At 57.5% G+C, this 24,536-nt stretch overlaps 1 protein-coding gene across 8 annotated transcripts in view, besides 1 other annotated feature; it reads left to right on the forward strand.

The window, feature by feature from the left end:
- ACSF3 (acyl-CoA synthetase family member 3) overlaps positions 1–24,320 on the forward strand; it is a 62,382-nt gene extending 38,062 nt beyond the window's left edge. For 5 of the 8 annotated variants that reach the window (NR_147928.2, NR_147929.2, NM_001127214.4 and 2 more), the window contains 4 exons: positions 1,223–1,349; positions 13,354–13,488; positions 14,025–14,136; positions 22,177–23,924. Coding sequence is in view for 4 of the 8 variants with exons in the window: in NM_001127214.4 (NP_001120686.1) it covers positions 1,223–1,349; positions 13,354–13,488; positions 14,025–14,136; positions 22,177–22,294 (492 nt within the window). In the remaining 4 variants the exon portion in view is untranslated. Of the gene's footprint in view, positions 1–1,222; positions 1,350–4,634; positions 4,917–9,153; positions 9,364–13,300; positions 13,489–14,024; positions 14,137–22,176 lie in introns of those variants that run through there. The other 3 variants (NR_045667.2, NR_104293.2, NM_001243279.3) reach the window with 3 other exon arrangements.
- Positions 2,156–3,055: an enhancer, noted in NCBI's record as "H3K4me1 hESC enhancer chr16:89200477-89201376 (GRCh37/hg19 assembly coordinates)". NCBI's record gives its function as "activates a minimal SCP1, AML or CMV promoter by ChIP-STARR-seq in naive H9 embryonic stem cells {active_cell/tissue: H9 hESC(naive)}" and the evidence as "EXISTENCE:reporter gene assay evidence [ECO:0000049][PMID:30033119]".

Genomic DNA, 24,536 nt, shown 5'->3' on the forward strand with positions numbered 1-24,536 from the left:
TGTTTCACCCCCGTGGGTGGCGTCAGCCCCTCCTGGAGGAGCCCAGGCTGGCGGGTTGGCAGCCCCGTCATCATGTGGGGCAGGTGTTTCACCCCCGTGGGTGGCGTCAGCCCCTCCTGGAGGAGCCCAGGCTGGCGGGTTGGCAGCAGGACGACACACTCGGCAGAGGCTGCCATGGGGCAGTGTTGGCCCCACGGCGTTTGAGCGCCCTTTCTCCACATCAGATCAGTGTGTTCTGCTATTTCGCAGCTACTTCCCTGGCCCCTGGTTTTCTGAAGTCCATTCCAGATGGCAGGTGATGAGCCTCAGTGAGACTCTTGTACGCATCCCTTGACCTCCGGGGTCACAGCCAGTCACTTTCACAGTAGAGAAGAGTGAGGGTCGTGGAGCTGGCAGCTGCTCATCTGAAGCCCCTGCTCCTTCTCTGCCCTCCCCAGACCCTCCTGACCTATGAGCCGAGGGCTCGGCCGGTGTCTTCACAGACCCACCGTGTCCAGGGCCTCCCGTGCCATCTGTTCCTGGTGCTGCAGGGACCCCCAGCCCAGGCTCATATAACCCAGCCTCCCTCCCGCCCTCTCCATGGTCACAATAGAAGAACAGTGAGGCTGTGTTTCCTGGGGCCATGGCAGTGCCTGCATGCTTAACAGGGGCCTCCAGGGACCCTCCACCCTCAGGCCCCACCTTCCCTTCCCACGGAGTCTTCCCTCTTGTAATTGGTCACTCAGCCCTGTGGAGGGCGCTGCCCGCTCCAAGCTGCCCCAGCCCCTGTGGGCAAGGTGTGGACAGGTGCCCGCTGCTGTGTTCCCTGGTTTGAGAAACGCCCCCGAAGATGGGATTTGGGCACAGGTTTTAGACGTGGACAGGCTGCCTGAATCCAGCCCAGGCTCTGAGTGCTGAGGCCTGGGCCGGTAACATGCTCAAGTCTAGAGGATGGGGTAGGAGCACGTTCTTCTGTGGCTGTTCTGGGAGGAATGAAAGGACACCCAGCTCCCGGCCAGGGCACCAGGGCCCACAGAGGACGGCGGGAATGCTTAGCTCAGCATGGTTGGCTTCCACCTGTCAAAGCTGCGTTTTCCAAGCATTCCAACAAAGCGCTCAGTTTCAGAAAGCACGCGGCCCTGGGTGGGCCCTGGGTGGGCAGGGAGCAGCCCACAGTTTCAGAAAGCACCAATCCCAAGAGGGTGTGCCCAGCTCTGACCTCCATGTTCTTCATCCTCCACAGGTGACCCCAGGGTTTGAAGAAAAGGAGGGGGAGCTGCTGGTGAGGGGACCCTCCGTGTTTCGAGAATACTGGAATAAACCAGAAGAAACTAAGAGTGCATTCACCCTGGATGGCTGGTTTAAGACAGGTAGGACCCAGCCCCATGGGAGTGGAGGAGACCCCGAGGGGACAGGCAGGAACTCATTGCTGCCCACGTTGAGTGACACCGAGGCTGGGAGTTCCCAGAATTTTCAGCCAAAGGCAGAAGATGGGGTGGAGTGGGGCTGGGGGCCACTGTTACGGCACTGCCTCCTGAGCACCCGGCCTCCCCACCGGCTTCTAGAGTGGGCTCCTTGGCCCTGTCCCTCAGTGCCAGGGGCCCCAGTGCCCCATGACAAGGCTTCTACACTGTCCCTCAGCGCGACAGCCGCTCCGGCACGCACGCACCCTGACCACAGACGCCGGGCCCCACGCAGCCCTTCCTGGTGGCCCTGCTGCCCCTCGTGGGCTGGGGCACCCTCCACCTCCGAGGTGTACCCCTGTACCCAGAGACCTCACCACCCCCACGCTTAGCCACACTTGTGCCCTCCACATCCTTCTCCCCACCAGAGTCAGAAGTCAGCTGACGCAGTGCGGTTGGTTTGCAGTGCGGCTGTTTGTTTACTGTTCCACAAATTAGCACATTCTCTCTGCCTGCCAGAACAGGCCTGTGGGTGAGTGGGAACCTGCCCACCTGATTGAGGTGGCCCAGGAAGCCTGTGGCGGTCAGGAGAGACGGCGGCGCCCCTGGAGCCTGCTGGCAGCCCCCACTGCCACCCTCCTGCTCTCCCTGAGCCTGCCCTGAGCTGCTGCTGCCTGACCCCCCTCCTTTGTGAGAAGCTGGCTTGGTCCCAGGATCCCACATCCCGCCCCATGGGGCGTATTTGGACAGTGGATATTTCGACATTTGGATAGTGGACGTATATGGATGGACATTTGGATAGCGGACGTATGTGGATGTGTTACTAGGGGGTCCTTGCTCCCAGAGCTCCCAAGATGGTAGCGGGCAGCTTCCAAAATGGCGGCAGGCTGCTTCCAAGATGGTGGCAAGCGTCGTGTTCTCTGACCTGGGGTTCTTGGCCTTATGGATTCCAAGGAATGGAATCTTGGGCCATGCGGTAAGTGTTATAGCTCTATTAGAAGCCGTGGGCCACAGAAAAGAACCATGGAACCCAGTGACTAGTGTTCAGCTTGATTAGGATGAACGTGGGTGCTTAGCCGTGCAGGAACAATGGCGAGCCTTTAGGCCAGTCGGGAGTGGCAGTGGGTGCCTCGCTGGATCAGGAGCACAGTGGACACCCTGCGGGATCCGGAGGAATAGAAGTCAGCGGCGGGTCTGCAACGGCGGCAAGCAGCAGTGGTGGACGGCGAGCGAAAGCTCAACTTGAGCCGTAACTACCACGGACCAGAAGAGAGTGTAGTTGCAAGATTTAATAGAGTGAAAACAGAGCTCCCATACAAAGGGAGGGGACCCAGAGAGGGCAGCCGTTGCCAGGTTTATATCCCGATCATTGTCCCTCCTGCTGTGCTCTGAGGAGATAGATGATTGGCTATTGTTTACCTCCTGTTTTAGCCTAATTAGCATTTTAGTGAGCTCGCTTTACTACCTGACTGGTCGGGTGTGAGCTAAGTTGCAAGCCCCCTGCTTAAAGGTGGATGTGGTCACCTTCCCAGCTAGGCTTAGGGATTCTTAGTCGGCCTAGGAAATCCAGCTAGTCCTGTCTCTCAGATGGACATTTGGATAGTGGACGTATGTCCATGGATATTTGGATAGCAGACGTGCGTGGGTGGACATTTGGAGAGTGGACACACGTGGTTGTGTGGCTGCAGGTACTCACTGTAGTGTATTTATCCGGAAGATGTGCACGTTGCTCCTGACCCCTGGGTGGTGAGATTGCGGTGGTTTTTCTTTTCCTGGTTTTTTTTTTTTTTTTTTTGGCCTGTCTATATTTTATGCTGAACATCATTATTTTATAATAACCTTTAAGTAATATTTTCCAAAAAAAAGAGGCCCATTTTCATGCATCAGAATCTGCTGGCCCAAAATCAGAAACGCATCTGCCCCATGCCCTTCCACAGGGAGCAGAGCGGGGGGCTGCAGCGTGCAGGCGGGATGGGCTCCTTGAGGGATGCTGGAAGGGGCAATGTTGGCCTGCAGCCTCTCCGCCTCATGGCCTGATCCTGTGGGTCCCAGAGGCCCTGGAGCATGTGCTGCTGTGAGGCAGGTGTGCTAGGTGTGTGGCAGTTCCGCACGTTTGCAAAGTGAAGGCTCCGTGAGCCCCTAGAGCAGAGGCCAGTGCCCCACGCAGCATCTCATAGGCTTCCCAAGGTACCCTGGGAGGCACCTTCGTGGGCTGGACATCAGCAGAGGACCCAGGGCTGGGGCCCTAGAAGCCTCTCTGTGACAGGACGTGGTCAGCACATCAAACACTCCCTCCCAATTTATCTTTTTTATACATCCCCATTAGCGCATGCTGATCTGGGGAAACAGCCTGTCCATGACTTCCCTTCAAATGCAGAATTACAGGAACCGGACTTGAGCAGGTCTTGCTCTGAGCATCCCTCCAGTGCCCTCTGAATGCCCCGACCCCAATCCGACTCACGCTGCAGTTGTTTTATTTATTTAGTTAGTTATTTTTGAGACGGAGTCTCGCTCTGTCGCCCAGTCTGCAGTGCAGTGGCACGATCTCAGCTCACTGCAACCTCTGCCTCTCGGGTTCAAGCAATTCTCCTGCCTCAGCCTCCCAAGTAGCTGGGATTACAGGCGCCCGCCACCACGCCCGGCTAATTTTTGTATTTTTAGTAAAGACAGGGTTTTGCCATGTTGGCCAGGCTGGTCTCGAGCTCCTGGCCTCAGGTGATCCGCCCGCCTCGGCCTCCCACAGTGCTGGGATTGCAGGCGTCAGCCACTGCGTCTGGCCGGTTCTTGTATTTTTAAATTCAGGTAAAAGCTGAAGACGTTTTCTTCTTTGAAAGCACAGGAACCACAGCCCTGTGGATTTTGCGAGTCGCGGGGCTCCCGGAGCCGCTGGGAGGGCAGCCGTGTGAGATGCGGGGCTGCGAGCGTGGAAACACTCGCAGTCGCCAGTGCTGAGGCATGTTTCAGCCGGGGCGGAATCACATGCATTAATTATTGTACAGAGATGTCTTTAGTAGAAAATGATTTTGAAATTCAGTTTAATTTCATTGTAATGTGCTGCAAACAGGAAGGGAGTATGTGTGTTTAATTGGCTCTCGGGGGTAAGGCCTGGAAGCCGCATGTCTTTGTCACAGGCCATTAGCGATGCTGCTGCATAATGAGAGCCTGCAATCAGCTCACAGCTGCCGCTCCTGCCGGGAGAGCATGATATTAAATAGAAATCAGGAGAAATTAAACTTAACCCTTTCCCTGGCCAGCCCCTCCTGCCACACGGATTCTGGCATAAGCCGGCGGGCACAGGGGACAGCCAGGGATGGCTGGACACAGCTGAGGATGGCCGAGGCCGGCCTGCAGCTCCCCAACGGCCTCCTCCGGGTCAGGATGAGAGGAGAGGTTGCCAGCTTTGATGCCAGCCGCTCCTGCCTCCCCCACCTGCCTCTGTGCCTACAGCCCGCTTCTGCCTCAAGATCACACAGCGGGCTTGTGAGGCCAGGGGTCTCCGCTGCTGCTCAAGGAGATGGCAAAGGTCTGTTTCAGGTAACTCCTCTGACGGCCACAACGATGTCTTCAGACGTCAAAGGTCTGTCTCAGGTAACTCCTCTGACGGCCACAACGATGTCTTCAGACGTCAAAGGTCTGTCTCAGGTAACTCCTCTGACGGCCACAATGATCTCTGCAGATGCTCTGACTCCACGTGCCCTCGCTCAGAGACACACGCGCACATTTGCCACCTGGGGCGAGTGGAAGGTGACGTGGAGGTGGGCACCTCTGCCGGGCAGATGCGGGAGCAGCAGCAGCAGCAGCCCCTCCTGGGGGCATCCAGGGGTCAGGAGAGGGGCGGTAGGGCAGGGCGGCATCCCTGCAGGGGTGAATGGCGTCTTAGGCTCCAGCCGGGTGAGGAAACCTGATAACCGAACTCCTTAGAGAAGAGCCAGGGATCCCGGGAGGACCACCAGGAGCTTGTGGGGAAGGACTGAGGGGAAGAGCCCCAGGTCTCGGGAGGACCACCAGGAGCTCACGGGGAAGGATTGAGGGGAAGAGCCCCGGGTCTCGGGAGGACCACCAGGAGCTCACGGGGAAGGATTGAGGGGAAGAGCCCCAGGTCCCGGGAGGACCACCAGGAGCTCACGGGGAAGGATTGAGGGGAAGAGCCCCAGGTCTCGGGAGGACCACCAGGAGCTCACGGGGAAAGATTGAGGGGAAGAGCCCCAGGTCTCGGGAGGACCACCAGGAGCTCACGGGGAAAGATTGAGGGGAAGAGCCCCAGGTCTCGGGAGGACCACCAGGAGCTCGTGGGGAAGGATTGAGGGGAAGAGCCCCAGGTCCCGGGAGGACCACCAGGAGCTCACGGGGAAGGACTGAGGGGAAGAGCCCCAGGTCCCAGGAGGACCACCAGGAGCTCACAGGGAAGGATGGGGAGAGGGGAGTGGGGGGCTGGAGAACCCCCAGACTGAGAAATTCTGCTCGGAGCGAGAAGGGAGCTGGGCCCAGGTGGCCCCATCCCCCAAGGTTGAACATCAGCCCAGCCTCCCAGGCCCTCCACGTGCTCATGGGCACCACTGCCGGGCACTAGCTTACTTGTCACCCTGTCTGAGGCGTGTTGGGGTAGGAGCAAGAGTCCGCTGCTTCCAGGGCCCAGCTGGGGCTCCATGTGTCCCTGGGCACCCCAGAACCCTCTGGGTCTCAGCCGTTGGGTTCTTACATCTGGGCCAGTGGCAAAGGGTTAAAGGGACCTTGTGACTTAGTTGGGACTCACTGGCCTCAAGAAGCGAAAATCAGAGGGACAGCAGCCCCAGCCGCCGGGGATTCCCTGTGGCGCCAGAGCTCCCCGGCAGGCACTGTGGAGGCCAAGTGGGGACCGGCAGTGTCGTGGTCCCGGCCCACAGCCTCTCAGCCTCCCACAGCCTCTCCCTGTGGTAACGAGGTGGACGCTGAGCCCCAGGCCTGATGGCACATTTGAGGTCAGGTGGGGGCACCTGGGCTGTTCCTGTAGCTGTCCCCTCGTCCAGGGGAGGGACCTTTTCAGAAGCCCTGGGGCCTTTGTCTCATTGACCAAAACCCTCCTGGCCATGCTGCCTTCACAGGACACTGGGCATCTCTGTGGGGCAAGGGAAGGAACACAGGCCTCCTGGTGGGGCCCCAAGACCCAACCAAGGCTCGTCTGGCTGGTGCCAGCCTCTGCGCCAAGGGTGCCGACCAAGGTCAGAGCCGATCGCGGGGATGACAGGTGCCGAAATGGCCATGCTTGCCCCAGCCCCTTTCATCCGGCAGAGGGACCTCGCTGGGCCTGCCACGCTCAGCCAGGCTGTGCTGTGAAGCCCCTCTCTTCCCTTCTCAGAGCCATATGTCCACGCTGACAGCTCCTGAGAGGGACCATGTTTTGCTGCCTGCAGGTGCCAAGCTGACTGATGGGCCATGCTGAGGAGGGTGCCCCAGCCCTCCTGCAAGATGCCCTTCTGTGCAGCCTGCAGGGCCACCAGGCCCACGAGGCGGCCATGGTCTTCAGATGTGTCTTAGCCTGGGTTCCCTAGAAAACACATGAGGACTCTGGGCAGAGGCTGAGTGTTTTTACATTTTTATTTTTAAGCCAAAGTTACACACCTGTGGCTTAAACACCCAAGTAGTTGTAGCAGTTTGAGAAGAAGAATCACAGCCGTGCCCCTTCCCCAGACTCGCCGGCTGCTGCTTCTGTGCGGTCCCCGCATCCCGAGGGCCGCCAGCACCGCCACCTCCAGGCTCCTTTTTGCTGCCATGGCTTGAGTCCCGCAGAGGAGGCCCCTCCTCAGGCACGGCCCGGCTCAGTCCCGTATGGCATCTGCACTATTGAGACTATGGAGTCGCCGCTGAGAACTGAGCCCAGGAGACACTGAGGTTTTTCCTCTTTCTTTGTTTTCCAGAGTCGGGAAAGTCTTGGTTTTCTTGGTCTCCTGGTGCCAATTCCTCGTGGGCTGGGCTGGTCTCCCCATGGCGCCTCCTTCCCCATCACCACCACCCCTTCCCTCCTACCGGGTCAGGACGTCGGCTCCCAGCCCACAGCATCCTCGTCTTCCCTCTTCCGCCCCCAGCTGTGGGGACTGCTTTCCCCTGGGGCTTCCTGAGGCGGGTGTGTAGGGTCCGTACTTGGAGACTTGCGTGTCTCTCCGGGTCTTCGTTCTGCCCTCAGCCTTGCTTGTCGGTTTGGCTGCGTATAGGGTTCAGGGTTAGAAGTCGCTTCTCTATCATTTTCTGGCCTTCAGATTTGCTGCTGCCACAGCCGTGCTGAATCCTGGCACTTGGTGACCCCCTCCTTTTTTTTTCTGTTTTTTTTTTTTTTTTTTTCGAGACAGAGTCTTGCTCTGTCGCCAGACTGGAGTGCAGTGGCGCCATCTCGGCTCAGTGCAACCTCCGCCTTCCGGGTTCAAGCAATTCTCCTGCTTCAGCCTCCCGAGAGTAGCTGGGATTACAGGCGCCCACCACCACACCTGGCTGATTTTTGTATTTTTAGTAGAGACGGGGTTTCACCATGTTGGCCAGGATGGTCTCGATCTCCTGACCTCGTGATCTCCCCACCTCAGCGTCCCAAAGTGCTGGAATTACAGGCATGAGCCACCGCACCCAACCATGACCCCCTCTTTTTAACGTACAGGGTGTCCTCTGTCCCCAGACCCCTGAGCCCAGGTTGAGGAGCCACCAGCTGAGGACGGAGCCAAGGTCACGGAGCTGCCGGGTGAGCGCTGAGCCCAGGTCAGGGAGTTGGGTCTCAGGCCGTCACTGGGACTCCCTCTGCCTTCAAGAAGCCTCTTTCACCCTTGGCCCACAGAGGAGACCTGGATGGCACTGGGGTCCAGGTGCAGAAGCCTCCAGTGTCCACGGGCACCTGAGCTTCCAGCACCTTCCCTCCTGCTGGGCGGTGGCCTGTGCCTGGCCGCAATGGAGGCCGCCTTCCCCACTGCCCCTCTGAGCCTCAGTCTGTCCTCCCTGCAGCCACCTCCCCTGGCCAGGTGCCCCGGGGTAACTGGTGGAGGCTTTCACGTAACTTGGTTTCCAGCTGCCTCTGTACACACACAGGCACCTGTTCCAGGCTTGGCCTCTCTGTACACACACACGGGCACCTGTTCCAGGCTTGGAGGCTGAGAACTTGGGGGCAGAGATCTCAGGGCATCGGCTTGGGCGGGGTCCTTGGGCAGGGCCTTGGGCTTCCCTCGGCACTTTCCTCAAGGACTGGGGCCAAGCTTCACATTCTGTTGCTGGCATCAGTGCCATTTGGGAGCAAAAGTCCGACAGGCTGGGTCTGGGCCTCTCTTCACCTTGTTTCCTGGGATCGCGCTTTGGGTGCTGGTGTCACTCCAGATCCAGGCTCGGGAACCACATCTGCACAGCAGAACAGGCGCTGTTCTTATCTTGCGTGCGGGTCAGGACATCCCCCCGGCCAGGAGTGCTTCCTCCGAGGCCCACAGACAAGTTCTCGCTGGGGGACTGGGGACCACAGCACCTCACTCCACCTACACTCTAGAGAATTCAAATCTGAGTATTGGAAGATTTATTTTCAGTTACAGTGGAAGGCAGAGACATGAAATAGCACCAAATTCAAAAGCAGCTCATAAATCCAGGTAATAGGAGTTTATTGATTGCTACATTGTATCTGTCAGAAGAAAACTCCTTTAATGAACACATCAGGCCGAGGACATACACAGCCCATTGGCAGCCGACTCCGATTCCAGAATCGATGCATTTTGATAAATAGGTTGTTATGGAAAGTAAAGGTTATTTAACTTGTTTGACTTGCATTTCACAGTGATCGCAAGTTGCCCTGGAGCCCTCTGAACCTTCTGAGTCGCCCTCGCTGCCGCAGGACCTCCTCCCGCGGGGTGTCCGACCCGCTCTTGCTTGGCTGAGACTTTGTTTAAACCCTGGCTCCGATGCCTCTGAGCCCTTGATAGCAGCGTCCCAGCCTGGAAGAACAAAACCAGCCACTTTTCCCCTTGGCAAAGGCACAGCAAGGCGGGTGAGGCGGGCGCTGAGTAGTCTGGGAATGGGCAGGGAGATGTCGACCCTCGGAGCTGAGACTGCTCTGTGCTGAGAAGCTAGAACAAAGCCTGACATGTTCCAAGGGGCAAGCTCAGGGCTGGGAGGGAAGCAGCGGGGCCGCCCCTTTGGGTGGGGGTGCCCAGGCCTTGCAGACAAGACACTGGCCAGAGGAGGTGGAGCAGGGGTACTGGGGCAGAGGGGCCATGTTTGTGCAGCAGGATGGACCCTGGAGGGCCCCGGCCTAGAGGGGGCCTTTGCCAGGAAGATGCCAGGAACGTCCAGGCCAAGGCGTCCGGGCAAAGGCATCCAGGCCCGGGAGACGCATGTGGGACTTGGGCTTTCCTCTGTGGGCAGTGGGAAGTCTCTCCCTACCCCTGGAAGGAGCTCCAGGCAGCAGTGAGGATGGGGATTCTGACACTGGAGTGGGGAGCCGGCCCTGTGGTGCTGGCTGGGCTGAGAGCGGCACCACCTTCTGATGCCCAGGGTGGGAAGGACACACGACTGCCACCATGCACTGAGGGCCCTGCACGCCACACACGTGCTCTGAGCACTGAGGGTCCCCTCATGCCACGCACAAGTTCTGGGCACAGAAGCACCTCTCAGAATCATCCCCGAGACAGGCGTCCATCACAGAGACAGGTCTCAGTCCTGCACTGATTGGCTTCGCCCAGTGCTGCTGGGGGAGTCTCAGACACAGCCTTTTTCCGACAGGTATAGCTGCCACTTTCTCCGGCACAGAAGCCTGGGGCCCTGGGAATGGCACCATGTTGCGCGCCGACCCCTACGGTTCTTCCCTCCGCATGGCTCAGTGGAAACCGTGCGTGCAGCACAGCAGGCAGCTGGGGCCTGTGACGACCCTGGGGTTGGAGGCCAGGCAGGGCTATCACTGAGAAGCAGGGATTTGGGGCCTGGGGCCCAGGGAATGGACAACTCCCCAAGCTGCCCCCACCAGTCCTTCCTGAGCACTGGCTCTGGAAGAAGCATCTCGGGGCAGAGGCAGCCAGGCCCAGGCAGGGAGAGACCCCCAAACAAGGCCTACAGCAGGGTCTCAGGGCCTGACCATGCCAGAAACAGCCCAGAGCCAGAGAGGATGGGCAGATACTCAGTGCCACCACTCCTGGGAGATCTCAGCACCAGGGCTTCGACCTCTGGGGATACACACCCACACCTGCTGAGATATAACACATCTGCAGAGACACAGCCACGCCTGCAGAGACATACCCACACCTGCAGACACACCCACACCTGCAGACACACCCACACCTGCAGACACACCCACACCTGCAGAGACACAGCCACACCTGCAGACACACCCACACCTGCAGACACCTACACCTGCAGGCACACCCACACCTGCAGACAGAGCCACACCTGCAGAGACACCCTCACCTGCAGAGATACAGGCACACCTGCAGAGACACAGCCACACCTATAGACACACCCACACCTGCAGAGACACACCCACACCTACAGAGACACCCACACCTGCAGACACACCCACACCTGCAGACACACCCACACCTAAGGAGACGGGGTCTCGCAGTGGGCGGAGAGGTTGGGTCTTGCATCTAATCAGCCATTGATGGGCCTCTCCTGTGAAGGGCACTCATTCCTTGTATTCATAAATTAAGCTCATGTGAGTTTGTTCTTTAACAAGTTATTGCGCGATCATAATCCATTGCCGACGTTGGCGTGACTCACCATGTCATGAGCCCACTCGGGGCTGGTGCTGCTGGAGATGGGGAAGAAAATTGCTCCATAAACCAAAAAGCAACATTTTAAAACTTATAAAAAAGATTCGCAGGAAATTAGAAATAACACACAGGGGTTCCTTGTGCCGTCCCCCCAGTTTCTCCCAGCATCAGCCTGGTGTGTAACGGTGGTACATCCTCAGTGCCGTGCGTAGCTTTGGTGCAGTCTCAGCCCCGTGCGTAGCTGTGGTGCAGCCTCAGCCCCGTGAGTAACTGTGGTGCATCCTTGGAGCCAGGACACAGGCAGCTCAAGAGGGTGCCGGGGACTTGTCAGCCTTGGGGGCAGGCAGTGATGGCCTCTCCGGCAGGACCAGAGCAGGGCAGTGGCTCCATGCTGCGCTGGGTCTCTGGGTGGTGCAGGCCAGGGTGGAGCCAGGCCAGAAGCTGTATGGAGGGCCCTGAGCACCTGGCAGCCTCCCTGGTGTCAGCAGCTGTGGCATCCGTGGGGCAGGAGCAGCCTGGACGGGGTGGCTCGGTGCGATTAAGAGATGCTATTGGAAGATTGGTGGCTGTCTGGTCCAGAGGGGACACACAAGCCAGGCTGCACAGCAGGAGCAGGAGCCATGGCGGGTCCCACGGGACTTGGGACAGGCTGTGTCCAACCCCGCCCACAGCCCAACCTGCACACCCCCTTCCAGCCGCCCAGACTACCCCAGGGGCGCAGTGAGACCACTCTCCTGTCGGGGAGCCTCTGGTTTTTCTGCTACCCATCAGCACAGAGTTCCAGAGTTCCAGAGCTCCATAAATAAGCCTGGAGCCCACCTGGGCACACCCATCCGTCTTGTTTAATAGACTGAGGAGCACGCCATGGGTCTCAAGGAGTGGTGAGGTGGATGGATGGGGCCTTTCTGCGTCCAACAGCATGATGTATAATGAAGTATTTATGATTTATTCCAGCTAATAACCCATGTGGAGTGCAGGGTATGTGGAAGCAGACAGTTGAGGCCTCAGCACTGCCCTTACATGCCCTGCATGCTCCCACAGCCACGGCACACATGTGTGCGTGCACATGCTCACAGTCACGCATACCGCGCCCTCCCAGCTGCACACACGCTCGCAGGCACGCACACTATGGGCCCATGCGTCATGAGACAGCTTCGGGCTGGGAGTACAGGCTCTGAGGCTGCAGCCCGCTCTTCCCGACTCCCCACCCTCAGTGGCTGGTGGTGTCTGTGTTGAGCTACTCGAGAAAGGAAGAAAACGAAGGAAGCTTGGTTCCCACAGGAGCTCCAGGAACTGCACGGGGAGGAGCAAGGGCCACGTCGTGGCTTTGCCTTAGGAAGGAAAACGTGGGGCAGCCCCGGCCATTGTTCTAGGACCAGCATGGTCAGGTGTGGAGGGCACAAGATGGGCACCAGCAGGAGGCTCCAGGCACCCAGGAAAGGCCCTGTCCTCCTCAGCCACCAGCCCCTCCCTGTGGCCTCTGCGTGGGCCTTGGTGCCTCTCCCATCCAGAGGGGCTGGGCATTCACTGCTGGAGCCCACCGTGGTGGGATGTTGTAATGTGTCTGGTTCACTTCTTTTACTGAATATTTGGCCTGGATTCTTTTGTGGGCCTGAGAGAAATGGCAGGACAGGGCCTGGTGGGCCTCGGCCCCTCTCCCAGAGCAGCCTGCCTGCATGAGGGGCGGCCCCTCTATGCTGCAGTCCCAGGGGCTCCGTCTGGGGGCCCTTGCAGCAGTAGCAGCACAGCCAGGAGGCCCAGCACACCCTGGCACCCATCCTGAGGGAGGGTAAAGCATCAGACCCTGTGCTTGTTGCTCAGAAAAGGCCACGCATCCCACCCATGGCCAGTGGTTATCAATCACTGTCACAGAAACAGGGCCTGAGCCGGCTTCCTAATGCAGGGTGTCTGCAGACCACAGGCCCAGCAGGGCTTCTGGCACCTCCTGCTCCTGGCAGGCTCTGGACCCACTGCTGACCTGCCCCTGGAGGAAGTGCATACAGCTGAGCATGGGGAAGGGACCCCACAGGAAGGGCAGACCCCACATCATGGGCACAGTCCCACCTTGGGACGCACGTCGTGACCACCAGGAATGTGGGCTTACCTGGCATAGCTGTTTCTCCGTTGGGGTTGCCACAGGGTAGTAACCAGAGCCCCCTTTCCTCAGAGGACACCGTGGTGTTTAAGGACGGCCAGTTAACCAGAGCCCCTTTTCCTCAGGGGACACCGTGGTGTTTAAGGATGGCCAGTTAACCAGAGCCCCTTTTCCTCAGGGGACACCGTGGTGTTTAAGGATGGCCAGTACTGGATCCGAGGCCGGACCTCAGTGGACATCATCAAGACTGGAGGCTACAAGGTCAGCGCCCTGGAGGTGGAGTGGCACCTGCTGGCCCACCCCAGCATCACAGGTGCGTGGCCGGACTTGGGCCAGGGAGGCCAGGCTAGACGGGTGCTGCCTTCCATGTTTGAGTTTTAGACGACTGCAGATGAGTCGACGCCGTCCCAGCTGCCTGCAGGGGTCCCTGTGATGCTCACCTCTGGTCCCTGCCCTGGCCAGGGAACATGGGGCTAGTGGGGGTGCAGCCTGCTCGGTGTTGGAGCCACTGACCCCGTGCCCACCAGAGCTCCCAGGCCTGGCCGGGCGCAGCTCCCATCTGCATGATTCCCCTGCAGGAAGGTGGCAGGGAGAGTGCAGAGAGCCAAGGGGCGGGAAGGCAGAGCCCCTGTGAGTGCCCAGTCCCCAGATCCACCGTGGGGAGCCCGTCCTCACTCCCCTCCCCACAGGCCCAGCCAGCACCAGGACGAGTGATTGGAGTGGGGCCTGTCCAAGGACGGGCTCCAGGGCTGCGGCCAGACTGCGCTCTTCCTGTGTGTCCAGGCACTCTTCGGCCTGTAAGGGTCACTGAGGCATCCCCATGTTCTCAAACTGTTCTTCTATCCGCAGATGTGGCTGTGATTGGAGTTCCGGATATGACATGGGGCCAGCGGGTCACTGCTGTGGTGACCCTCCGAGAAGGACACTCACTGTCCCACAGGGAGCTCAAAGAGTGGGCCAGGTAGGGCTGGGTGGGGCGGGCAGGGAGCACTCATGGGGTCTTGGGGGTCCAGTCTTGAGGGCCACCCTAGGTATTGGCATCGTCCGTCTTAGAGGTGGAGATGAGGGATCAAGAAAGACCAGCAGTGAGGGTCCTTAGAGACCTGAAGGCCGCACACAGCAGGTAGAGACGAGGGCAGGGGGCAGGAGCCGTGCTCAGATTTGACTTGGTGGCAATATTCCGAGGGGGCAGAAACTCACATTCCTGGGACAGGGCCCTGTACGGCCTGTGGTGGGTTCCGTCCTGGTCCCAGGAGAGATCCCGGATGAGCCAGGCCAGGCCCATGCAGGAGGTGCATGGAGCTGAGATCCAGGGTTGACACCAGCTGGCCGCACGCGCTGGGCCCTTCCCCGCCAGGCCACAGGCAGCCTGTCCACCTGCCGCCCCAAAGCCAGTGCTGGGCCCCAGCAGAACTGCAAGGCCCACCCATTCTCCGTCGGCACCTGCACGGCCTCTCCCTCTCCTGCCCTGGGGGTGGGTCCTGAAGGTGCCTCACACACCTCCAGTCAGTTCCACGGAGACCCCAGCACCATCACCATCCCCTCAGTCATTTCACTTTCCCCTCCATGTCCAGGGCAGGGCCTGTTCCTCAGCGGTGGCCACCACCCAGTCCTTAAACTCACCTGCATTTTTTGTTTTGCCTTTACCTTACCCAGAACCTTTCCCCAAGGACTTTCTCCCACCTGTCTCACCCCCAGTGGTTTCTGATGCATGGGATCCACAGACCCTCCACTTTTGCCAGCAGTGGTGGTGGTCACGCCCAGGGCTGAACCTGAGCTATGGCCTTGTCAAAGGCCGTCAGGACGGAAGGGTATCCCATAGGACCGTCAGGGCAGAGCCAGGCTGAGCTCAGAAAGGAAGCTTTTAGTTTCACCTACAGTAATTTCTTTTGTTTTTTTAATTTATAAAGAAACGGGGTATAATTGGCTCATGGTTCCACAGGCTATACAGGAAGCGTGGCTGGGGAGGCCTCAGGAAACTTACAGTCATGGCAGAAGGCAAAGGGGAAACAGGCACATCCTACATGGCCGGAGCAGGAGGGAGGAGGGAGGAGCCACAGAGTGAGTGAGGGAGGAGGGAGGGTCCACAGAGGGAGGGAGGGTCCACAGAGTGAGTGAGAGAGGAGGGAGGGTCCACAGAGTGAGTGAGGGAGGAGGGAGGGGTCACAGAGTGAGTGAGGGAGGAGGGAGGGGCCACAGTGTGAGTGAGGGAGGAGGGAGGGGTCACAGAGTGAGCAAGGGGGGGAGGGGCCACAGAGTGAGCGGGGGAGGGGCCACAGAGTGAGTGAGGGAGGAGGGAGGGGTCACAGAGTGAGTGAGGGAGGAGGGAGGGGTCACAGAGTGAGTGAGGGAGGAGGGAGGGGTCACAGAGTGAGTGAGGGAGGAGGGAGGGTCCACAGAGTGAGTGAGGGAGGAGGGAGGGGTCACAGAGTGAGCGGGGGGGGGGGGAGGGGCCACAGAGCGAGGAGGGGGTGGGAGGAGCCACAGAGCGATGGGAGAGGGAGGTGCCACGCACTCTCAAACATGCAGGTCTTGTGAGAACTCACTCACTAGCACGAGAACAGCAAGGGGAAAATCCACCCCTGTGATGCAGTCACCTCCCACCAGGTCGCTCCTCCAACAGCGGGGATCACAATTCAACATGAGATTTGGGTGGGGACACAGATCCAAACCATATCGTTCCTCCCTGGCCCCTCCCAAATCTTACGTCCTTTTTACATTGCAAAATACAATCCTACTTCCCAACAGTCCCCCAAGTCTTCACTCATTTCAGCATTAATTCAGAAGTCCACAGTCCAAAGTCTCGTCTGAGACAAGGCAAGTCCTTTTCACCTATGAGCCTGTAAAATCAAAGACAAGTTACTTCCCAGATACAGTGGGGGTGCAGGCATTGGGTAAATACACCAGTGCCAAAAGAGAGCCGCCAGCCAAAACAAAGGGGCTGCGAGCCCCAGGCAGGTCCAAAACCTAGCAAGGCAGTCACTGAATTGTTTTTTGGTTTCTTCTTTTTTGGTTTTTTTTTTTTTTTTTTTTTGAGACGGGGTCTTGCTCTGATGCCCAGGCTGGAGTGCAGTGGCATGATCTCAGCTTACTATAGCCTCTGCCTGCAAGCAATTCTCCTACCTCAGCCTCCCTAAGTAGCTGGGACTATAGGCATGCACCACCACACCCAGCTAATTTTTGTATTTTTTAGTAGAGATGGGGTTTTGCCATGTTGTCCAGGCTGGTCTCGAACTCCTGACCTCAAGTGATCCACCTGCCTCAGATTCCCAAAATGCTGGAATTACAGGCGTGAGCAACCCCACCCAGCCCAATAAATCTTAAAGCCCCAAAATAATCTCCTAAGACCCATGTCTCACATCCAGGCTACACTGATGCATGGAGGTGGCTCCCAAGGCCATGGGTATCTCTGCTCCTGTGGCTCTGTAGGGTACAGCCCCCATGCTGCTTTCATAGGCTGCTGTTGTGTGCCTGCAACTTTTCTAGGTGCACCACACAGTGCAAGCTGTCGGTGGGTTATTCTGGGGTCTGGAGAACGGTGGCCCTCTTCTCACAGCTGCAGTAGCCAGGGCCCCACTGGGGACTCTGTGTGGGGGCTCCAACCCCATCTTTCTCCTCTTCACTGCCCTGGAGCAGTGGCCTGAGCTCTATCTGGAGCCCTTTTAGCCCCAGAGCAACAGGGATGCAGGGGCCAGTGTCCCTCAGGGCAGTGGCCCACAAAACCATTCTTCCCTCCGAGGCCTCCAGGCCTATGATGAGAGGCACTTCCATGAAGGTCTCTGACACGCCTAGAGACATTTTCCTCATTGTCTTGGCGATTAATATTCAGCTCCTCTTTACTTACGCACATTTCTGCAGCCAGCTTGAATTCCTCCCCAGAAAATTGTTTGTTTGTTTGTTTTCTACCATGTGATCAGGCTGCAAATTTTCCAAATTTTATGCTCTGCTTACCTTTTAAATCTAAGTTCCGGTTTCAGGTCATCTCTTTGCTCATGCTTAACAAAAGCAATCTTTGCTCCAGTTCCCAATAAGTTCCTCATCTCCCTCCGAGTCTACCTCAGCCTGGACTTCATTGTCCATATCGCTATTAGCATTTTAGTCACAACAATTTAACAAGTCTTTAGGAAGTTCCAAACTTTCCCTCATCTTCCTGTCTTCTTCCGAGCTCTCCAAATCGTTCCAGCCTCTGCCTGTTACCCAGTTCCAAAGCTGCTTCCACATTTCCAGATGTCTTAACAGCAGTGCCCCACTTCCCTGTACCAGTTTTCTGTGTTAGTCCAGTCTTGCATTGCTATAAATGAAGCCAGATTTTTCTCAGCCACTTTGCCAACCGGGGACCTCCGTGGCTGGTGACACCCCCAACCCAGGCCTGCCACAGAAGGCACCCACACACTCGACCCACTGGGCCATGCTTGGCTTATGCACTGGCTCAGCCCACCTGTGTTATAGCTTATACCTGCATTCATCGGTTCCCAAGTTCTTGTCCCGCGTCCAAGAAGAATGAGGTTACACTGACAATTCAAAGGGTGAGGAGAGTGGAGAAGAATTTTATTGAGCAATGAAACAGCTCTCAGCGGAGAGGGTATGCGAGGGTGCTGAACCGCCCAGAGTTGGGTGTGGCTGGGTCTAGGGCTTTTCTGGGCACAGAATGGGGAGGGGCAGGCTGTAGGTAGCACTGGAAAAGGTAACCTTTGGTTGGTTAAAAAGCATTATTCAGAAAGAACCAGTGGGAAAGAGTGGGCAAACAGGAATAGAAGTTCTCACTCCAGGCTGCAGGTTTCAGGCTGTTTTTGGCTTGAAGGTGGGGTTTCACCAGGGACCCACCCCTGTCTATCTGGGCATTTGACTGCTTCCTGTTGCTTTCATAAGGAACTACCCAAGATGGTAATTTATAAAGAAAAGAGGTTTAAGTGGCTCACAGTTCCACAGGCTATAAGGAAGCATGGCTGGGGAGGCCTCAGGAAACTTACAGTCATGACAGAAGGGGAGGCAGGCATGTCCCACATGGTGGAGCAGGAGGAAGAGCTCACCTACAGCAAATTATTTAAGACCGAGCATTTGTCTCTGTTCTGTTCCCTCTCTGGACGCACCCTCCTGCCTCCACCCTGACTTGCCGTCTCCTGAGCACTGAAGATATTTTTGGCTTGTCCGATGTGACTCCACAGACAGCAGAAACGCTTGCTTGATCAGGGCAGCATCAGGGCACCACACATGCCTGGGCTTGCACAACACAGCGGGAGCACTGCCACTCAGCAGCAGCTGCTGCTTTCATTAAACAGTTACCTTGAGAAGAAAAGATAGGTGTCGAGGGCTGAGAGCTGTGCTAGAGTTTCAGGGTCCGAGTTGGCAGGAACTGAAGTCCCGATGCTCCTCAGCCCTTGGCTGTCCTCAGGGCTGCCCTCTGCGTGGGGACACCAGGCCGCCCCTGCCCAGGGACACCAGGCCGCCTGCTCCTGCTCTGTGCATCTCTCACATCAGGCTCCTCACCCAGCATTGTTTGGGCTATGACAGTGGCTGTGACAAGACCCTAAGACGGGAAGCTGCGTGCAGGGCACTTGAGGGCCCGCTGAGGAGAAGCCGCCTGTGAGGGACAGGACTGGGCAGGGAAGGCCACCAGCCATGCGGTCACAGCCCAGGACTCCGCCAGTCCTGCAGGAGCCCTGGAGCCAGGCCCTTGCTGTCCAGGCCACTTGCTGTACCTGGCCCACAGCTACCTCCCCTGCAGCCCTGAGTCCTGCTTGCTGTGCCCGGCTCAGGCTGAGACTGCAGTGCTTGTCCATTCACCATGAAAGAAAGAAGAACAGGAAGGGAGGCAGGAGGAAGTAAGTTAGAGGATTAATCCAAATGTTCCAACTGTCTAATGGGAGTTCCAACAAGAAGATATCCAGGGAGGAAATTCACAGTCAAATTTCCCCAAACCAAAGGTCATGAGTTTTCAGGTTGAAAGAACACCCAACCAAGAGGAGAGAAAACAGCATTCTAAATATCGGAAGGAAACGAAACCTCGCCTCAGGCATGCGGGCTCTGACGGGCAGGATGGCGGCACGGAGGGCTGCTGTATCCAGTGAAGTCAGCAGTTCAGATGAAACAGATAACTCCCTTAAAAGACACAAATTGCCAAGACTGACGCAAACACTGAAACAGACTGAACAGTTCTGAGTTACCAATTTAAAACTGCAAAGCAAATAGCAGGCCCAAAAGGCTTCACTGATAAATTATCTCAAACATTGAAGGCAAAAAATAAAACCAGACACAGCAAAGTAAGTCTCTGATGAAACAGAGTGGGGAGGAACACTTCCTAACTCCCCGTATGGGACCAGCACTACCCTGAAATCAAAACCAGACAAGAAAACGAGAGGACAGTGTTCCCAATGGGCAGACACACAAAATCCTAAACAAAACGTTAGCAAATTAAATCCAGTTAATGCACAAAAAGACAACACGTCATGATCAAGCAGCATTTAAGCCAGGAATAGAGGGTTACTTTCATATTCAAAAATCAGTCTGTGTAATTCACCATATATTTTTTTTTTTTTTGGATGGAGTCTCGCTCTGTCGCCCAGGCTGGAGTGCAGTGGCACGATCTCCGCTCACTGCAACCTCCAGCTCCCAGGTTCAAGTGATTCTCCTGCCTCAGCCTCCTGAGTAGCTGGGATTACAGGTGCGCACCACCATGCACAGCTAATTTTTGTATTTTTATTAGAGACGGGGTTTCACCGTGTTGGCCAAGCTGGTCTCGAACTCCTGACTTCAAGTAATCCTCCCGCCTCGGCCTCCCGAAGTCCTGGAATTACAAGCGTGAGCCACTGGTAATTCACCATATTTACAGAATGAAGAAGAAAGATCATATCATTTCAATAGATACAGAAAAAGCATTTGCAAATGTCAAAACCCTTTTATAACAAGCACTCTTAGCAAACTAGGAGAAGAAGGAAAATCCTTGAACCTGATGAGGGAGTCTCTCAAAAGCTACCAGATGACATCCTGCTCGATGGGGAGCTGCTGGGCGTTTTCCTCCTGTGACCAGGAAGGGGCGCCTGCCCTCACCACTGCCACCCAGTCTCATTCAACACAGAGTTTGTCCCCTGTTAGAAACCGAGACGTTGGTTACACGTGGAGGTTGGGAGTGGCTCAGGCAGGCAGAGGGGCTTCTGGGAACCTGGCCATGTTCCCTTTCAGTCTGGGCGCTACTTAGAGCAGGGGGCAGTTGCTTCAATAAAACTTTAGATTCCCACACAGGCCAGGCGTGGTGCTCACACCTGTAATCCCAGCACTTTGGGAGGCCGAGGTGGGCAGATCACCTGACGTCAGGAGTTGGAGACCATCCTGGCCAACATGGTGAAACCCCGTCTCTATTAAAAATACAAAAATTAGCCAGGCATGGTGGTATGCGCCTGTAGTCCCAGCTAGTTAGGAGGCTGAGGCAGGAGAATCGCTTGAACCCGGGAGGCGGAGGTTGCGGCAAGCCGAGACTGCACCACTGCAATCCAGCCTGGGCGACAGGGCAAGCCTCTGTCTCAAAAGAAAAAAAAATCTACACATCCCTCACCACACTGTACATAGGACAGCTGGGTGTAAATTACATCTCCATTTAAATGCCTGTCATAGTTTTATACAACTATAAAATATATACGTGCCAAAATAAATTTGATAGGAACATTGGAACCAGGTAAGGTGACGCATACCTGTAGCACTTCGGGAGGATCCTTTGAGCCCAGGAAGTCGAGGCTTCAGTGAGCCATGACTGCACCACTGCACTCTGGCCCAGGCAACAGTGAGATCCTGTCCTAGAAAGAAAAGAGAAAAAAAGAAAAATGCGATTTGGAAATGTGGAGGTCGAGGTTGACAGCGACACCGAGGTCGAAGCCAGTTGCCCCTGGAGAGCGAGAGACTGGGCTGGGCCGACTCCCACCTCTGTCGCGAGAGGCCTACGGGCAGGGGCAGGTGGGCAGGGGGACTGTGCTGGGTCTCTGGCCGCGTCTGGACGGCAGGCGACACTTTCTCCACAAAAAGCGTCAAGAAACCACGACACTTGGTTTCTGGACTTTTCCGCGGAACAGTAACCAGAACAATCGCCATGAAGGTTCGTTTCTGTCATGGCTCAGTGCAGCCTGGACGCCCTGGACCAGCCCCTCCTGCGCCTGGGCCACGGCCGCTGCCTTCAGGGCATCACTGGTGGGCGGCACAACCATCCTCCCTTTGGGGGGTTAATTTCATTTCTTTCCTCCCTTCTTTAATGGTGAATGGAGGAGCACCGAGCACCACTGCAGTCTCAGTTTCAGATCCCAGCGCCTCGTCCCTGCCCACTGCCCTCGGCCCCGCCCGCCTGCATTGGCAGTGCCCTGGCCCCACCCACCCGTGTCAGCACCGCCCACCGCCCTGGCACCACCCACCGAGTTCTCGCCCATGAGGAAGGGGGACCCTGAGTGGAGGTTTCAAACCTTAGGGGCCGTCCCTGCCGTGCAGGGCTCTGTGAGGCCTCTTGCCACATAGGCTTGTGTCTGCAGGACTGTGCGGCATTTACTCCCATCTCAAATACCCCATACAGGGCAGACTGCCCCTGCCCCACCTGCCCACCCACTCCCCAGCCTCTTCCGCACGCCTCCTCTGGAAGGGGAACGGGCCACAGAGTGAAATGGGGCCTTCCAGCTCCAGTGCGGGGACTTGGAAGGCCTGGCCCGGTGTGGGGGCCCCTCTGCCCTGCAGGCCACTCTGTGCAGGCCTATCCTCAGGTGTGCCCTCGCCCAAGGCCTGCACGCACCATGGCTTCTGTGGTACCAGTGATAACACCATGCCGGGCACCTCCTGCAGTCACCACCCCTGGGCTGCTAGGGCAGAGACAGCTGCGGTGGCCCGGTGCACCTGCCTGGCCTCAGGATGGCCGAGGCGCCTGGCAAGGCTGCAGGGTCCCAGGGGCACCTGTCCGTACTGCTGGGCGCCTGAGTTCCTCCTGCTGGGCACTGTCAGGGCAGTGCGCCTCAGGCTGTGCTTGTCTCTGCAGAAATGTCCTGGCCCCGTACGCGGTGCCCTCGGAGCTGGTGCTGGTGGAGGAGATCCCGCGGAACCAGATGGGCAAGATTGACAAGAAGGCGCTCATCAGGCACTTCCACCCCTCATGACCCGGCAGACTGGGACTGCGGGTCTGGTGGGGAGCAGCAGACGTCCCCTTCACACCGAGAACCACGGGGGCCCGTCCAAGACCTGGCCTCCCTTAAACCTGAACCCCCCAAATCAGGTCACGTAGAATCAAGAACTGTTTGGGATGAAATCACCATGTGGGGTCCCCAGCCTCGGGCCAGTTGTTGCAGCTCAAGGAGACCGTCCCTGGTGTCACCTCTGCCTGGTCACCGCCGACCTCATCTGTGCAGCGCGGTGCAGCCAGCCCCTGGCCCCACGTGCTGAGGCACCTCCCGCCCCACAGTGCCCTGCAGTTGCCAGGCTCTCCAGGGCAGGTCCCAGAGGTTTCCCACAAAAAACAAAGACTCCACTGGAGGAAACAAGCCCCTGTCCCACGCCGTCTGCACGTGCCTGTGCCTCACCCAGAGCCAGTGTCTCCCGGCCCACATAGGAGGTCTGGGCAGCCACCCAGGGGGCCCTCCTGGGAGGAGCTGAGGGTTCACAAGCCTCCCAGAACCAGCCCTGTCCCATGGGTTCCGTGCATTTCCTGGTGCTGCTCTTGGAGGAGAGCAGCTCCCACTGTGGGGACACCTGCCACCCTGCACACTACTGTGTGTCCATCAGCATGTGTCACAGAAAGTGCGTGGACGGATGGCCCCGGAGCTGCTCTGCCGTGACCCTGCCTCACCCCCCAGCGCAGGGACTTTCCAGGTCATCTCCACACCAGCCCCTCAGCCGGTGAACCCTCTCTCCCATCACCGTCTCCACCCAGACCCCCACCTGCCCCATGGCCCCCATTTCATGTCTGTGGCTCACCAGCTTTTCCCCAGACCCAGCTCCGGAGCCCACAGGCGTGGCCGATGCAGAAACCTCAGGAAGGTGTGTTGTGAATGTTGGGTGCACCCACGTTGCATTTACTTAGCGGGGCCAATTCAGATGCACAGGGGCCACATGCAGAATCCAGAAGTTTCTGGACAATTTTCAGAAGAATAGGCTGCCTCCTCCCCACAGCCTGGGGGAAGTAACAGTCATCGCCCAGCAGTGTCTGGCCTGAACTTACCCAGAACATTCTGCCCCCGGAATGCACGTCTGAAAGAGTGGCCAGAAACGAGTGTGCCGGGCAGGAGGCCAGCCCCATCTCAGGCTCACGTGCCTCTGACAGGAGACCAGCCCCATCTCAGGCTCACATGCCTCGCGGACAGTTGGACGTGGCCTGGGGCCCCTGCTCACTTGAGCATGTCGCCCACCAAGCTTGTCTGAGGCCACAGAGCAGCGTCCCAGCCCTGTTTTCCAGGACTGGTGGGTGCCCCAGTCCACGGCCCTGCCCCACCCGAACTCCTGCCTCACGGTGTGGCCTTGTGCATCCCCATGGCCTGACCCCGGGAACAGTCAGAGGAAGGGGTCCCGCCCTCCCGCCAGAGGCCTGGACCCAAGGGAACGGCAGTCAGAGACTACAGTCCAGACGTTTGTGTCTAGGCCTTGCTGGTAGCTAAGGAAATGCCTTCTGTTGGGAAAAGGTCAAATTTAACATAGCAAAATTTTTACTTAATTCCACTAATTTTACATTTGCATCTCTCTCCTTTAATCCTGAAACTTTTGATTCCTAAAAAGCTTACATAATCATTTGCTTTATCCGATAGTATACATCAGTATATCATGCTTTCGAAATAATGAGTGTAACTTTCTGCTGACAATACTACAAACTACAGAAAGCCTGGAGCTCATTGACCAGAAACTGCAGAGAGCCTGGAGCTCGTTGACCACAAACTACAGAAAGCCTGGAGCTCGTTGACCAGCCGGTTGACCAGAATACGGTGCTCCAAGGACATGCGGTTGAATGCCGTGTTCTAAAGTCACGAGTGACTCTCCAGCTGGTCCCTGTGCCAGGCTGGTCGGCCTTCGTGCACACAGTCCGCCAGTGCCCAGCCAGGCCCCTGGTTCCCCTCTGCTCCACCAGCCGAGAACAAGCCCGTCCTGGAGGGAACTCATCCTCTCCTCCCTCCCCATTAAAGCCCAGTTTATTCCCCATCTTGGCCTCTGGTGCTGACCTGGCCTCTGGAGACACAGGCCGGGGGGTGCTGTTTGCGAACTCACCGTGACTGAGCTCCATGAGGATACCACAGTCCCACGTGGCTGGCAGCGCCCACCCCACACACCCTGCCCCTTGCTGGGCGGCCCCATGCCACAAAAGTTAGACCCAGGAGCAGGTGCCCTGGGAGCAGGCTGCCACCAGCTGGGTCAGAA

This window comes from Homo sapiens, chromosome 16 (genome assembly GCF_000001405.40).
Source record: "Homo sapiens chromosome 16, GRCh38.p14 Primary Assembly".
Taxonomy (NCBI): domain Eukaryota; kingdom Metazoa; phylum Chordata; class Mammalia; order Primates; family Hominidae; genus Homo; species Homo sapiens.